The following is a 14,484-nucleotide window of genomic DNA, read 5'->3' on the forward strand; positions in this document are numbered from 1 at the left end:
AGCCTCCCAAGTAGCTGGGATTATAGGCCTGTGCCACCACACCCAGCTAATTTTTGCAGTTTTAGTAGAGACAGGGTTTTACCATGTTGGCCAGGCTGGTCTCGAATTCCTGACCTCAGGTGATCCGCCCACTTGTCCTCCCAAAGTGCTGGGATTACAGGTGTGAGCCACCATGCCTGGCCAAGCACAACACTTCTAAAGAGTTCACTCTGCAGGTGAGGAAACTCATCTGATGCCCAAGGAAGGAGCAGGGCTGGCCCAAGATGGCACAGCAATAGTGATGAGCAGGGGCTCCAAGCCAGACCTCCCGGTGCCCGGCTCTGTACTTCCCTGTCTGTAATGCAGTATTTCTGCAATAGTTTCCCATCTCCAAAATAACAATCTCAACAATTATAATACAGTTGCCATGTATTAAACACAAATTGTGTCAGGTGCGGGTTTAAGTATTTTGTCTGTTTTCCCAACTAGCACTGACATAACCTTTTCAGGGAAGCTTTAATATTCTCATTTACACGAGGCACAGAGAGGCCAAGTCACATGCCCCGGGTCACACAGCTAGAATGTGACAGAGATGGAGAGGTGCCCCAGTGTGTCTGACTCCAAGGCTGGGGCTCCTAGCTACCATGCTATTCTGTCCTCATATTGGAACTAGACTGTCAGCTCCACATTGGCATGAGGCTAAACTGCCTAGGAGAAAGACACATGACCCCTTCCATGGACCAGGCATTGTTTTAAGTACTTTACATTATCACATGACATCTTCACATCCACCCTATGAGACAGGCGCTATCTGTATCCTTACAGATGAGAAGACAGGCACGGGGACATTAAGTCGCTTGCCCAAGGTCACACAGCTGGTGGGTAGCAGAGCTGATCTTCAGACCCAAGCATTCTGGCTCTTAACCATGACACTACACCGCCTTGTATAAAAATTATTGTATCATTGCCATGACATAAACAGTTACTAACTTGAAATCATCCCTCGCCTGCCTGTAAGGTATGACATTTTCCAAAATGCGTTTCCCGTAAGGGCAACAGAGCCGCTCTCAGCATTCCTGTTCCCAGAGGAGGTATGTGGGCTCAGAGAGGTTTTGTGACTTTTCCTGGCAGAGTAGGACCTTGAACTTAGGGACACACACACGCACACATGGCACTTGTCTAGCTAGCTCAGCCACCCTTGACAGCACTTTGAGCTCATCATTCAGCAGCATCTGCCTTCCTCTCAGAGCTGACATTCTGCCCTGGCCTTCACCCCTCCATGTCATTCTGAAACCGGGACTAGGGAATTTGAGGCAGCTCAACCTTTCAGGGTCAGGGATGCTGAGTTCACACAGCACGCATGTTGCTCGTGTCCCCCTCCTCTGTTTTCACAGTCCCATTCTCGGGCAGGTCACTGTTCAGCAGTTGCAGGGTGTGCGGCCAGATGGGTATTTGCGGAGGGGGAGCTGGAAAGCATCCTGGGCTGGGCCGGGGAGAGACTCAGGCCTGGGCAGCCTTGCTAAGTCTCCCCTCTCTCCCTGTGTCTCCCTGTTTCCCGCCACTCCAATGGATCCTGTTCTTCTCGCTTCCCCGGCCTGGGGTCCCACCACCCTGTCTCCCCGGAACCCCATGTCCTGTGTTCTCACTGACACCTCTTCTCCTTTCCCTCCTGCTGCTTCCCCCTACTACCTGCCCTTCCCAACCCATTCTGAATGCTCCCTCCTTGCCCCTGTGCCCTCTGTGTTGACTCTGCTGATCCCCTCGTGGCCCTCCACGTCCCCTGGCATCCCTCTCCTGTCCCATGGGGCCGGCCTCCTGCTCCTGGCCCCCTGCCAGCTCCTTCCCTTTGGTTCCTCTCTTTCCCGCTCCTCTTCTCCATACCTCCCTGCCCCTCGCTCCCTCTCCCCCTTCCTCTCTCCCCGCAGGGGTCCCCCGGAGACGCTGGGCTGTCCATCATTGGTCCCCGCGGCCCCCCTGTAAGTTGTTTTTGCTCTTCCTCGGGGTGTTGGGGGGATGGGTGAGTTGATGAAAAGGGCTTTTAGGCTGGGGATGAGGGGACAGCGAGGGCGGCTGTGCCCCTGGGTGGGGAGGCCACCGCATGTGATGTGGTCAGCCCAGCCAGGCCTCGGGTGCCGATGTTGATGTTAAGGAAAGTGGCCTGGCTAAATATACCTAAATTACAGTCCCTTGGGAGGGTTCTGAGGGACCTGCCCTCTAGCCACGAAACTACAGCAGCTGCAAGGCGGCCCTGCTGTTTACAGACAGAAGGGAGAAAGGGCTCGCTCTCCTCCGGATGGGGTGATCCGGCTTTCCCGGGAACCAGCCTTTGTTTCTGGAAGCCCATGGAGCAGATACGAGTCCGGGTTCACTGACCCAGGCACGCACTACTGGTCTTGCCGGAGGGCCAGCCCACACTCACCCTCACAGATGCCTCTGTGTGCAGTGCTGGGTCCTGTGTGTTCACTAGCACCCTCCACCCCGTGGCTGGGAGCTTGAGAAAACCAGCGAGGCTCCCCTCACATGTGCTTCCTTAAGGACCAAAACAGGGGTGTGGGTGATGAAGCCAGCAAGATATCGAGGCTGTGGGAGGAAGGGCTTGTTATTTTCCCAGAGCCCTGAACCACGGGGCTTTAATAAAATCACCACACGTCAGGGTGGAAAGGATCCCAGGGATGGTCTAACACAGCCCTCTCAGAAGGGGAAACTGAGGCTCAGAGAGGGGGAGCGCCCTCCCGTGTAGAGGCTGGGCAGGATTAGAACCGAGGAGCCCCGGCCTCACCACAGCAGCAGGCCGCCGGCTCCACCTTCTGCACTTTTCCTGACCCGCCGTGCTCAGTGAGGGGTGGGAGCAGAGGGCTAGCCTCTGGGAGACTGAGACCCACAGCAGAGGGAGAGGGGCCAGAGAACGAATGGCTAACTTACATCCAAGGGAGGGGGCCTGCAGTGAGATGAACAGCCAAGCGAGGGGTTGTGGCGAGTGCAGGGAGCTGAAAGGTAGAGCCAGTTTGAGAAGGAGAGCAGGGGCAGGAGAGCCAGGCTGGCAGACATGTCAGGGGCTGGGTCGGAGGCAGAACTTGAGTGGCCCTGGGCTGAGTAGCATGGCCTTTACAGCAAGGTTTTCTTCTGGGTTCAGACCATAATGACCACGCTTAACACTTCCTCTGTGGTGGTCTTATCTTAAGACTTTTACACGTATTCACTCACTTAATCCTCACAAGGACTCCATGACATAGGGACTGTGATCACCTCCATTTTACAGATGAGGAAACTGAGGCACAGAGAGGCTGAGTGACTTGCCCAGAGCCATAGGGCTGGCACGTGGCTACACTGGTAGCTGATCATTCAGCCAGACCATCTGGCTCCAGTCTGCTTCTGGTTCCTGCTGCAGTCATAGACGGGCCAGGCCTGATGTCACTGTCGCATGTGCTCCTGGGCTCACACGGTGGCTGCCCCGATGGGCTTCAAGCCTCCTGTGTCCTGGAGGAGGTGCAGCACCAATGCCCTGGCCAAATTGGTCCTGATGAAGGTGGTGATGGGAAGGTCATAGAAACAGAAGACAGGCTCCCAGGTTCTAACATCGAGGACTGAGCCCGGTGTGTTAGGAGGACAGGGGAGTAACACAGCATACAGGCCCTACCCTATGCTGCCATCTCCGTCTGCCTTCTGGTCTGGCTACTGATGTTCTATTGTGTGGATCCTGCTGGTCCTCTCACACCCTTTCAGCAAATTATGTCAACAGGCTACCAAAAAGTTATTGAAAACCTCCACTGCTGTAGGTGTGTTCAGGGCAGTAGAGCCTCTGCTCCTCCCGGCCTCTGCCCAGCATGGATAACCTAATCAGAAACATATCTACTGCACTGGATTTGACTCCAGTAGTGAAAAGCACCTTCTGCTCAGGTAGCAATGACAGCTTCTGTTTCCCAGGCACCTGTCACATAATAGGTCTCCTTCACAGCTGTGAGGCAGGCCCCACCAGCCCATTTTACAGAGGAGAGAACAGTTTCCTAACTCGCCTGTGGTCACCCAGCTAGTAAGTTCTGGAGCTTGGGTTTGGCCAGGTTATCCTCATCCCAAAGCCTGCATTCTTGCCTCAATACCCTGTTCCATGTTTGAAACGCTACGTTTAAAATGATATTTACTTCAGGAGAAAAAAGTCCTCCAGGTGGGTGCCTACATTGGCACCAGGAAAGGTTTTATCATACCAGGAGTCTTAACGAAGCCCAGCATCCTCTGACTTTGGCCCCCATCACCCAGTGGCTCGAGCTATCCCTGCTGAGTCCCCACTACAGCACGGGCAGCCCCCTCAGCTCCTTCCAGGAAGCTGCCCTGAGCTAATGGGAGCAGGGACGGGGGAAGACAAAGGGTCCATTTGTCATTAAGGGGTAGAAGTCAAGTGGGCACCCTTGGTGGCAGCCAGGGATGATGGAGAACATGAAACTTTCCACTCAGCCAGGAAGGGTCCAGCATAGATGCTGCTAATAAGAACCAGCCTTGCCACTCTTAGGGGCCACCTGCCTCCCCTCTTGGAGTTTGATAAATGGTCCAAGCAAAGGGAGAACCCTCCAAGCACTTTGGAGGAGGGTTCACTTTCTAATGAAGTGAGCTGGAATACAGTGTTGGGGCACGTTGACTTTAAGGGAGGCTCAGTAAATCGAGGGGGAGCCTGGACCTCCAAGATGCTGGCTGGCCCAGCAGGCCCTGGGCAGAGGATCTGCCAGTCCTAGGAAATGCCCTACCTCAAAGTGTGCCCATTCCCTCTCTGAGCTCTCCAGCTTCTCTTCTGGGGCGAGGAGATATCTGAACTTCCAGTCCTCATCCACTAGGAGCCACCCCACACCAGGTAGACACACCTACTGAGTGTGTCTCAATTCACTCCATTCATATTTGTTAAGAGCCCAGTGCCTGCTAGGTGCTGCGTAGAAACCTGACCTCTGTCAGCTTGCCCTCTGGGCACATGATCTAGTGGGTGACACCAGTGATCACATAATCCATGACAATGCAGACAGCAAGTGCTAAGCCAGGGGATGGTTAGAGAGCTGTGGGACAAGGAGGAGGAACCAGCCTTGTGGAAGGAGGGCAGGCAGGGAAGGTTTCCTGGAGGAGGGGATAATAACTGCAGTCAAGGACCCATGAGAAGCCCTTACATTATGGTCAGGGGTTGGGCTTTGTCCTGAGGGTGTGAAGAGCCTGTAGGTTGTGTTAGGCTGACGTGGGACATGACCAGATTTGCAGTTTACAAGGTTGTAGAAGGTCCAGCATGCAGCATGTTTAGAAGAGACTGCAGTGGGAGGCTGGCTGGAAGGCACTTGCAACAACCAAGGCCTGGACTGGAGCAGAATCGGTGGGGCTGGCCAGGAGGGCTAGACTTGCAAGCTATTTTAGAGGTGGAATTGAAGGATTTCGTGATGATAAAAAATAAGGATTGAGGGAGAAGCAAGAACTCAAGATGACACCACATTTCTGACTTGAGTAACACAGTACTCTTTCCCAGAAGGAAGAGCAGATTTTGCCAGGGGAGATGAGTTGAATTTGAGTGTGATGAGTTAGAGATGCCGTAAAGTCCAATGGGAACTGTCATCTGCTGCTGGAAGTCAGAGCATGTGGTCTGCTGGAGCTGTCTTGGACGGCTGGCAAGAGTGGACCATGCACACCTCACCTCCTCCCAGCTGCTTTCAGTGACCTCATGTTGGTAGCTTGAAATCGGCTATGGTGGGTGTATTTATACCACAGACATTGGCAGGTGCTCTATGAGGCAGGGCTCTCCTCTCCACCCTCCCCCACTCAGCTAATGGTTAAACATTTGCCGGCAAGGAGTCTTGTTGGTGAGGGAGGCAGAATGAGGCTGCCCCTGGGCAGAGACACAACTGACCATCTCTCAAGGGTCAAATAAGAGAAGGGAGACTTCTTGGTAGGCTTTTTCCAACAAGAATCTTCTGTCTGTGTATTTGCAAGTAGGAGAAAGACAGGGAGGAGTAGACATAGGGGTCTGCTTTCAGAAGTGGGGACCTCCTTCGGCTCCCTTTTCACTCTGACCTTGAATTAAGGGAGAAGATTTCAGAGATCAATGTAAAGCTTATTTCCCTTGTTCTTGTTCAGAAGGATGTAATATTAATCCATGAATTAATGTACAAATACATCTATTTTGTATACATTTAATGTGATCCTAATCCCTGTGCGTGTCTTATGAGGTTGGAAATCCAACGAAATTCTACTAGATATCAAAATGTATTACAAAAACAGGACAATCTAAGTAAACACATGAACAGAACAGAATGGGGAGGCCAGGAATAAAGCCAAATGCATGTGTCAATCTGGTACATGATCAAGGCTTCATTTCACAATAGGAAGAGAAAGCTCAATTGTTCAAGAAATGACGCTGGGACAACCAATAAGCCAGTTAGTAAAAGGTAAAATGAAAGACAGTTGTTTGGTTTTTTTATTATTAAAGCCAATTTATTCATTATATTGGAATAAATTCCAACGAGCGAAATACTTAGATATAAAACCTGAAACTGTAAAATACAAGGACAAAGCATGAGTGAACATTTTATAATTCTGAAACTGGGGAAGGCCCTTTTAAACATGACACAAAACCCAAAAGCCATAGGAGAAGATTAAGTTTGTCTGTAGAAATATAAAACACACCAGAAACAAAATAAATGCCAAATGCCAAATTAGAAAGAATAATCATGACAAATATGACTATCAAAGAGTTATTTTTCTTGACAAAGTGCTTCACTCAAATCAGCAGGAAAAAAACAACCTACTAGAAAACATTGGTAAAGAAACAGGCAGAGAAATATTGGAAGAGATGTCTAACCTCAGGATATAATTGAAGAGACATAAATTAAAGTGCAGTTCCAAGTCTCACCACATGCCTTTCCCAGGCCCAGCCCCTCCAGAAAGTGGTGTCCCAGTTTCCACTTGGTCCGTGACAACATTCTTCCCCAGATCTCTGAAAAAGCCTTGGTTAGCCCTGGATTTGATCCTGGTTGGAGACATTCATCCTGCTACCAGGGCAGGCTCTGTAATTAACAAACTGTGTGATTATCCCTACCACGTAAACATTGTCCCTAGCGGGATGGAAGATGTTTCTTGGAATCCTCTCCTCCTGACCTTTTCTTCAGGCCTCTTGGTGTGCAGAGTAGTTTACAGAAAGTTTACACTGGGAGGCTTCAGAGATGACATTGTGTGGTTTCCGGGTTTTCTCCTTGTTTTATTCTTAGCATCACTTATCCTTGAGAGGAGAAAAGCCAGGGGCCCTTCCGATAGATGAGTGGGATCTCCTCCCTCGTGCCCTTTTGGTTGGCTGCCACAAGCCCATCCTAAGCCTGTGGCAGACTTCAACTCACTCCCTGTTGAACCAGCGCACCCACCCTGATGGCAGGGTGCCCATCCTACCCAGCTGACGTGTTCCCTGAGCACAGGCCACTGGACACTTATATTCGTGGCTTCAGGGAGGACCCTAGCAGCCTGGAGATGTTTTAGGGTCATAGCATGTGAATCCAGAGAAATCTTCTGGAGAGGATCTGATTCTAAAACTGCTGCTTGACAAGGACAAACTTTCATTGATCACAAGACATATTGGGCTCAAAAGCAACCTTGCTCTATTCTGGAGCTTCCCTGTTCAGTTCAGTTCAACAAGTGTCTGATGATGGCAGCTACCATTTCAATAGGCTTTACAAACATAATTAAATGTAATTTGATGATCCTATGAGGTTATACTGTTACCTCTATTCTATAGATGAGGAAACTGAGGCTCTGGGAGGTTAGACAACTTGCTGAGGGTCACACAGTCATAGTCGGAGGCAGGATTAGAATTTAGTCTGCCAGTCTAGAAAGCCCATGCCTGGGAAGAGATTCTGGCTGTGTCAGCCAAAGGAGACCCCAGGCTGAGAACTGGGCATGTTTGTTTGGTGGTGAACGGCGGGTGAGCCAGTGTGTCTGAGCATGGAATAGATGGAAAGATGTGGCAGGAAAGGAAACTAATATGGTTGATGGGGATGGGATTGAGGGATGGCCTTGAACATGGTAGAAAGGAGCCTTTGCTGGTTCTTGAGAGGGAGAGTGACAAGACTCACGTTTCTTAGCTCTCCATCACCCCTGACCACCTGGCCATCCCTCCTCAGCCCTGCATCATCACAGCCTTGTGCTTCTTCTAATCTCATCACATCCCCTTTGTCCTGAATCTTGATCATAAACCACTGGATCATAAATCACTGTGGTCAGTGAACCTGCTTCTAGTCTCCGTCCTAAATATTTATTTATGTTGCACTCTGCACCTCCAGGAAAATAGGCATAGATTGCTCTGCATCCCACAAAGATTAGGGGATGCTCAGAGATTGCCCAACTGCTAGGAGAAGCCTGCTGGCTAGAGTGAGAGGAACAGGAGCAATCTGACTAGTCTAGCCTGAAAACACACATTTTGAAGGTCAGGTTCTGATATCCAAGCCATCCTTAGATAAGTGGCCATGAGCAATGACTGTGTAAATAAAAAAGGGCTTAGAGGATCGCCGTCCAGGAGTTCCATGTGCTGCGGGCTGAGTCTCCGCTGGCCCCACTGTCCCATGCGTTTGTTTACAAGCCATGCATCCACAGCGGTGAGGAGCTCTCCAGGAGCCACTTCCCAGAAGTAGACCCAGAGGATGCTGGCCCCTTCCTGTTCCTTTCCCACCCCCAGCCCCTGCAGGAGATTTCCTATGATGTTCCATTTCATCTTTCTCCATCTTCCCTCCCAACCCACTAACCACAGTGAGTGTCCCCCAAGGACGATCACACAAAGTGAGAGGGATGGGAGCAAAGATGAACTGGAGGCCTAGGGATTGGCTCTGTCTCCTCCTTGCTCAATCTCATGTGTCTCTTGTTTTTTTTTTTTCAGGGTCAACCAGGAACTAGAGGTTTCCCTGGATTTCCGGTAAGTGGAGAAGGCTGAAGTTAGCTGTGTCCCAGGTGGTCTGTAGGCCTGATTGGGTTAAACTTCATCTGAGGTCAGCCCCGGTTCCACTCTTTCTCTCCCAAACCCTGGTCATTAAGGACTTGCTTCTACAGCCATTCATGGACACCAACTCAGGACAGTAGCTCAGCAGTCAGGTCATGATGCAAGGAATAAATACAGGGGAGCAAATACACAAATTAAGGGGCAGCAGGACAGGCCCCAGGTGAGTGAAGTCACAGGCTGATAAACCCCAGCATTGACCTGGGAATATAGAATGGACGATGCCCTGTGGGAGAACACCCTGCAGCTCAGCCTGTGCCTGAGCTTTGAGAGGAGATCCAGCGAGGGGGAGGCAGAGGGGTGGCCATCTGGGTGTCCTTGACCTCTGCTTATGGGGCCTAAGGCAGGTTCTGACAGGCAGAGCAGAGGGAGCAGTTCCCCCTTTCTCCCAACCTCAATGCAGGCCAGCCCCTGATTTCTAGGAACACACCACCTACTCTGCACTCAGGACAAGGGTGAGGTCCTTGACATTAATGGGGAGGCCACCCATTGGGTTCTCTCTTGCGCTGTGCACCTGGCATCCAACATTCTATTATTCTCAACCCCATTTCAGGATGGGAAGTTGAGGCCTAGGCTTACCCATAGTCACATTAACAAGTACGTGGTCAAGCAGGGCCTTGAGCTCCAACTTATCAGAATCCAGAATCTGTGCTTTTCCCCACTGCCCAGGCAGCCTCTTTGGCAGGAGTCCTGTGATGCTCAGTCTTTACATCTGGCCTTTCTGGTTTCAGGGTCCCATTGGGCTGGACGGCAAACCGGTAAGTGGACCCGCTCTCTCCCCTCACTGCAGGTCAGTGATCCTGGATCTCTTGGTCATTCTGCAAGATATTGAATCCTTGGAAAATGCTTTACTTAGAAAGAAAAGTCCTGGGGCTGAAGGTTGTCACTAGTGGGAAGTGGAGGGGGCCATTTGAGTCACCCCTGACCCCAGTGGCCTTCCCCAGGGCACAGGTCCCCAGCTGCTGAGCTTGGCTTTCGAAGTCCAGGCGAGAGCCATCCCTAGAATGGGTGATTCTGGGTGGGGTGGGGGTGAGATCAGGAGGCAGTGAGGAGAGTGGAGGGTACGGAGGTCAAATAGCTGGTCTGAAGAGCCTGGCCACTCATGCACACGCTTGCCCCTGCTCCCCAGCACCTGTGTCTCCCATGGCCCTGTCCTCGAGGTCAGGGTCTCCCTCCCCGATTGAGACCCCACACGTGTGCTCAAGTCCACGTGGAGACTGCTTCCCACCATAGCTCCTCTCTTCGTTCATTTCAATCCTTTGGACTTGGTTCCCTGACACAAATGTTCATGGGAGAAAGGAGTCCCCTCCCCAGTCCTAGGAGCAAGTCAGCTGGAAGGGAGCATGACCCATCCAAAGCCCTCAGGGTGGACGGAATGCAGCCCCACTCACAGCCATGCCTGGCCCCGCCACTCGCCTCTCTCAGTTGAGGGACCCTAGCACCACCCAGTTACTCCCCAACTGCAGGCCAGCGAGCTAAGTGCAGCCCAGGGGTGCCAGCAATCATTTCCACTCATGTCACGGGACCAGGCATCCCCCGAAGCTACCCTGGACATGTGAATGGCATGAGCGTTGGGGTCTAGGGAGACTACCCCCACCCCTGCTCTCTGAAGGGCAGGCAGCTGCTAGTGAGGCCCAGCGAGGGGCAGTGAGCAAATGACCTTGCCTTAGGGACTGGGTGAAGGAGTGCACAAGCCAGAAGGTGCAGATGGAGCACAGGGGACAGGGAGGAGCACGGGGGGCAGGGAGGAGCACAGGGGGCAGGGAGGAGCATGAAGGACAGAGGGTGGAACTTCTGGGCTGCGAACAGTGCACCTGGTACTCACCCTCTTCTCCTTCCAGGGCCACCCAGGACCAAAGGGCGACATGGTAAGAGCCCAGCTTTCCTGCCTTCCCGAGATGGGTGGGGGTTGGCCCAGCCTCACAGGCACAGCCAAGCACTGCAAAGTGGGTCCCACAGGGACAACAGGAATGGCTGTCCATGCTGGTCACTCCCCAGCTGTGTAAACCACATGCCCTGGATCCTCACATCAATATGCAGGGAGGAGAAATGGGCAGGGGCTTCTCCATCTGAAGCATGAGGATGGGAGATCCAGAGAGAGTGCACACCTGGCTGGTAGCACACAGAGGTCGGTGTCCAGCTTACTGCTCTCAAACCACACTCGCATGGGCCTTGGGAGACAAGGTTTCATCTGCACTCACAGGGGACACTTTCTCTAGGAGACACCATTTCTACTGAGCCTGAGGTCCCTCAAGGCCTCATAACCCCTTCCGGGTGCTGGCTGTGCCCTGAGCCACCCCAGGACTCCAGGGGTTCCTGCCCCACTGGGGCTGGTGGTGCCCAGTGGATCATCTCAGCTGGGGGTGCCACATGCATCATCCCAAAGGCCCCTTCCCCTCTCCCTTCCTGGGAGTTTCTGTTTGGAGGTTGGGCCACTTGGCAAGTCAGGAGCAGGAGCAAGGTCTTCTCTTCCATGTCACAGCATCCCGCGGCCACCACCCAGATGGATCTGCCCAGGGTACCTGGAGTGCCTCAGGCCCCAAAAAGGTGGAGAGACAACATTTGGCCCAGCTTTCTCCTGGCCCCTACCTTCTGCAGAGCTTTGGAAATAAATTTTCTGTCTCCACAGACCATCCCTTCCAGAAGGGAATGAGGGGCTGCGCACTCTCACGGTGGGCCAGATCTCAGCAGGGACTGATGGGCCATTAAGAGCTAATGGGCCCCTGCTCCCACACTGTGGAGTGTATTTTGGTTTTCAATAAATCCCTGCTTTAAAAAAACAAACAAACAGACAGACAAACAAAACAGCCCTGGGCTGGGGTGCATTTCTGCCTCCTAAGATCCAGGTCGCACCTACTGTGAGGGACCACCTCCTGCTCCACAGGTTGGTGGGCCAGGAATTTGTGCAGGGTGGTGAAAGCAACGCAGCAGGCTCCCCCTGTCCCTGTTCAGTGGGGGCCTGGCTCATGCCTTGCTCCAAGCGCTGGTGTGAAGACAACCCTTGACCCATGACTGGGGCACTGCCAGGGCATGGAGGGAGGCAGGTAATCATGTGGGTGGAAAGGGGGATGGTGGAGTGTTGGCTGCAAGGCCTGGGCTCCAGCCTAGCTCTTCCTAACTTGCCAGCTCCCTCTGGGCCCCAACCTGTCCTCTTGACTCAGATCCAACTAATATTTATTGAGGGTTTGCCACGTGGTTGGCACTGGGCTAAGCACTTTGCATGACTGTCTCAATCCTCAGCGTAACTCTGTGCTCCAGGTCTTGCTAGAATCCCCTTTGACAGGTGTGGAAACCAAGGCTCAGAGAGTCTAACTAACTTGCCTGAAGTCACACAGCTGAATGTCCAAAACAAGATCGAAACACAGTTCTCAAATTCCTTCCCTCCCTTTTTTTATTAAGGTTTTATTACCTTCCTCCCTTTCTGTTTCCCTCACTCTTTGTCAGCCTTCCTGCCACCTTCCTTCTTTTAATGCATTTTTTATGGAGTATCTAAAATGTGCTGGGCACTGCTTCAGGTGCTAGGGATACAGACGGGAGCAAGAGAGAGACTGTTCTTGCCATCTGTAGCTCACAGTCTAGTAGGGAGACATCCTTTTAAATGATCACTCACATAACTAACAAGTTGCTTTGCAATGAGTGCTATAAAAAGATAATCCTTAGTGCCCTGGAAATCTTGGTATAACAAAAACCTCACCCAGGCCAAAGGTCGGAGACGGCTTTTCTGAGAAAGAGACTTTTGAACTAGTGCCTGAAGAATGAGCATTCAACCGAGAGAAAATAGAAAGGGGGATGGGAATGTGCTTTCTGGACATGGGAGAATAGCACGTGCAAAGGTCCTGAGGTAGGAAAATCCTTGACATGTCTGCAGAACCGGAGGAAGGGCACTGGAGGCAGAAGGCCCTGGAGGCAGTGGCAGAAGAGCTGGCGCTGGAATCCAGGTTCCCCAGCAAGGTTTCCTCTCCATCACAGCTGCCTCCGCTGCAAATGCATTTCCCCCCGCCCCTACCCCATTCCCAGGCATGCTGTGCACATGCATGGAGTAGTGGAGACCGAGGCAGGAAGAAACTGCCATGCCACATTGTTATAGAGGCATAAAGGGCTTGGGGTGCTCATCCCTTCAGCCTGAGCTTCTTTCCCTCTCTGGCAGCCTTATGCTACCGTAAGGCAGCCCATGGCCCCCCAGAAGTAATAATAATGGTCATCCTCTAGGCAGCACTCTGTCATCCTCATAACAGCTTATCATCCCCACTTCATGAGAGGGGAAATTGAGGCACAGAGTGGCTAAGTACATTGCCTGAGGCCACAAAGCTCCTAAATACAACAGCTGAGATTCAGACCCATGCAGTGGAGTCTTACCCCTCGATCACACCTCCTCTCAGCAGCCAGCACTTTGTCCTGGAGGAAAGGGACCCTTCCATGGGGCCGCTTTTCCTGCCCTCATTCTGCCACACCGTCCCTCTGCCCCACACACTTGACCGCCTGTCCAGGGATCAGAGCTAACTCAACAGAAAAGGCAGGCCCACCCCCTCTCTCGTGAGCCCACATCAGTGGGATAGATCCCCTGTCTGCCTCATCAAATCCAGCAGGCCACAGAGCATCTGATTCCTGTTTGGCTTGGCATGGGTACCCGAGCTGTTAGTTGCCCACCGCTGTCCAGCATCATTACCTTGCCCTGCTCTTCATCTGTCTGTCTCCTGCCCCAGATGCTGTCCCCTCCACTGGCGTCCCACTGGGGCACTGGCACTCACCCTCATTGTTTAACCTGTGTCCTCACCTCTCAAAAGGGAGTCACCTCTGCCCCACCCCCCCACTTCACATTATTCCCAAGAACCTGAAATAAGGTGTTGAAGTGTTGGGAGGACACAGTTGTATAATAGTGTAGTTGGGGGGTGGACAAGATTGGGGGTCTGAGACTCAGGAATGACATAAGGGCTGTAAAGCAAGGCCTGGACTGAGTCCAAATCTCACCCACCACCCACAGGGCTGTCGAGTGAGGAGCGCCAGGCACTCAGAACATGCTTGGCACCCGAGAAGCAGACAGGCGCCTTAGCTATGCCTCAGTGGCGGTTAGCACAGGCCTGCTGGCAAGTGCTAAGCACATCACCGGTGGCCATGGCCCTTAAAGGGGCAGGTGCTGCCTGGCTGAAGATAACTGGTACCATGTGTTGTTGGACCTCGACATAATTAAGAGAAACTTGAAATCCAAATTTTTATTTGCACTCTGCTTGCTCTCTTAAGTATTGGCAACTAGTTGAAATAAAACCATGTGGGACAAACAAAATCCCTATGAAGACCACGATTGTCCCCTGGGCCACCGTTTGGGATGTCTGGTTTCAATTGTCCAAGTCTCTGCAGTCCTGAAACTCCGCCTGCCCCTCCCCCATCACACTTATATCTCTGTCCTGACAGAGGATGACCTGGTCACCTGTGGTCTGGGCCCGGGTTCCCTGCCGGATGAATCATGTGCTGCAGAACTTCATTCTAAGCACTCTGCCAGGCCGAGCGCGGTG

At 52.3% G+C, this 14,484-nt stretch overlaps 1 protein-coding gene across 43 annotated transcripts in view, besides 1 other annotated feature; it reads left to right on the forward strand.

Moving 5' to 3' along the window:
• COL13A1 (collagen type XIII alpha 1 chain) overlaps positions 1-14,484 on the forward strand; it is a 157,239-nt gene that overhangs the window by 76,693 nt on the left and 66,062 nt on the right. For 33 of the 43 annotated variants that reach the window (XM_047424600.1, NM_001368882.1, XM_011539294.4 and 30 more), the window contains 4 exons: positions 1,905-1,955; positions 8,858-8,893; positions 9,706-9,732; positions 10,816-10,842. In XM_047424600.1, the coding sequence (XP_047280556.1) occupies positions 1,905-1,955; positions 8,858-8,893; positions 9,706-9,732; positions 10,816-10,842 (141 nt within the window). Of the gene's footprint in view, positions 1-1,815; positions 1,956-8,857; positions 8,894-9,705; positions 9,733-10,815; positions 10,843-14,484 lie in introns of all 43 variants that reach the window. The other 10 variants (NM_080805.4, XM_047424618.1, NM_001368897.1 and 7 more) reach the window with 2 other exon arrangements.
• Positions 3,161-3,882: an enhancer, noted in NCBI's record as "H3K4me1 hESC enhancer chr10:71641515-71642236 (GRCh37/hg19 assembly coordinates)". NCBI's record gives its function as "activates a minimal SCP1, AML or CMV promoter by ChIP-STARR-seq in naive H9 embryonic stem cells {active_cell/tissue: H9 hESC(naive)}" and the evidence as "EXISTENCE:reporter gene assay evidence [ECO:0000049][PMID:30033119]".

Source organism: Homo sapiens, chromosome 10 (genome assembly GCF_000001405.40).
Source record: "Homo sapiens chromosome 10, GRCh38.p14 Primary Assembly".
Taxonomy (NCBI): domain Eukaryota; kingdom Metazoa; phylum Chordata; class Mammalia; order Primates; family Hominidae; genus Homo; species Homo sapiens.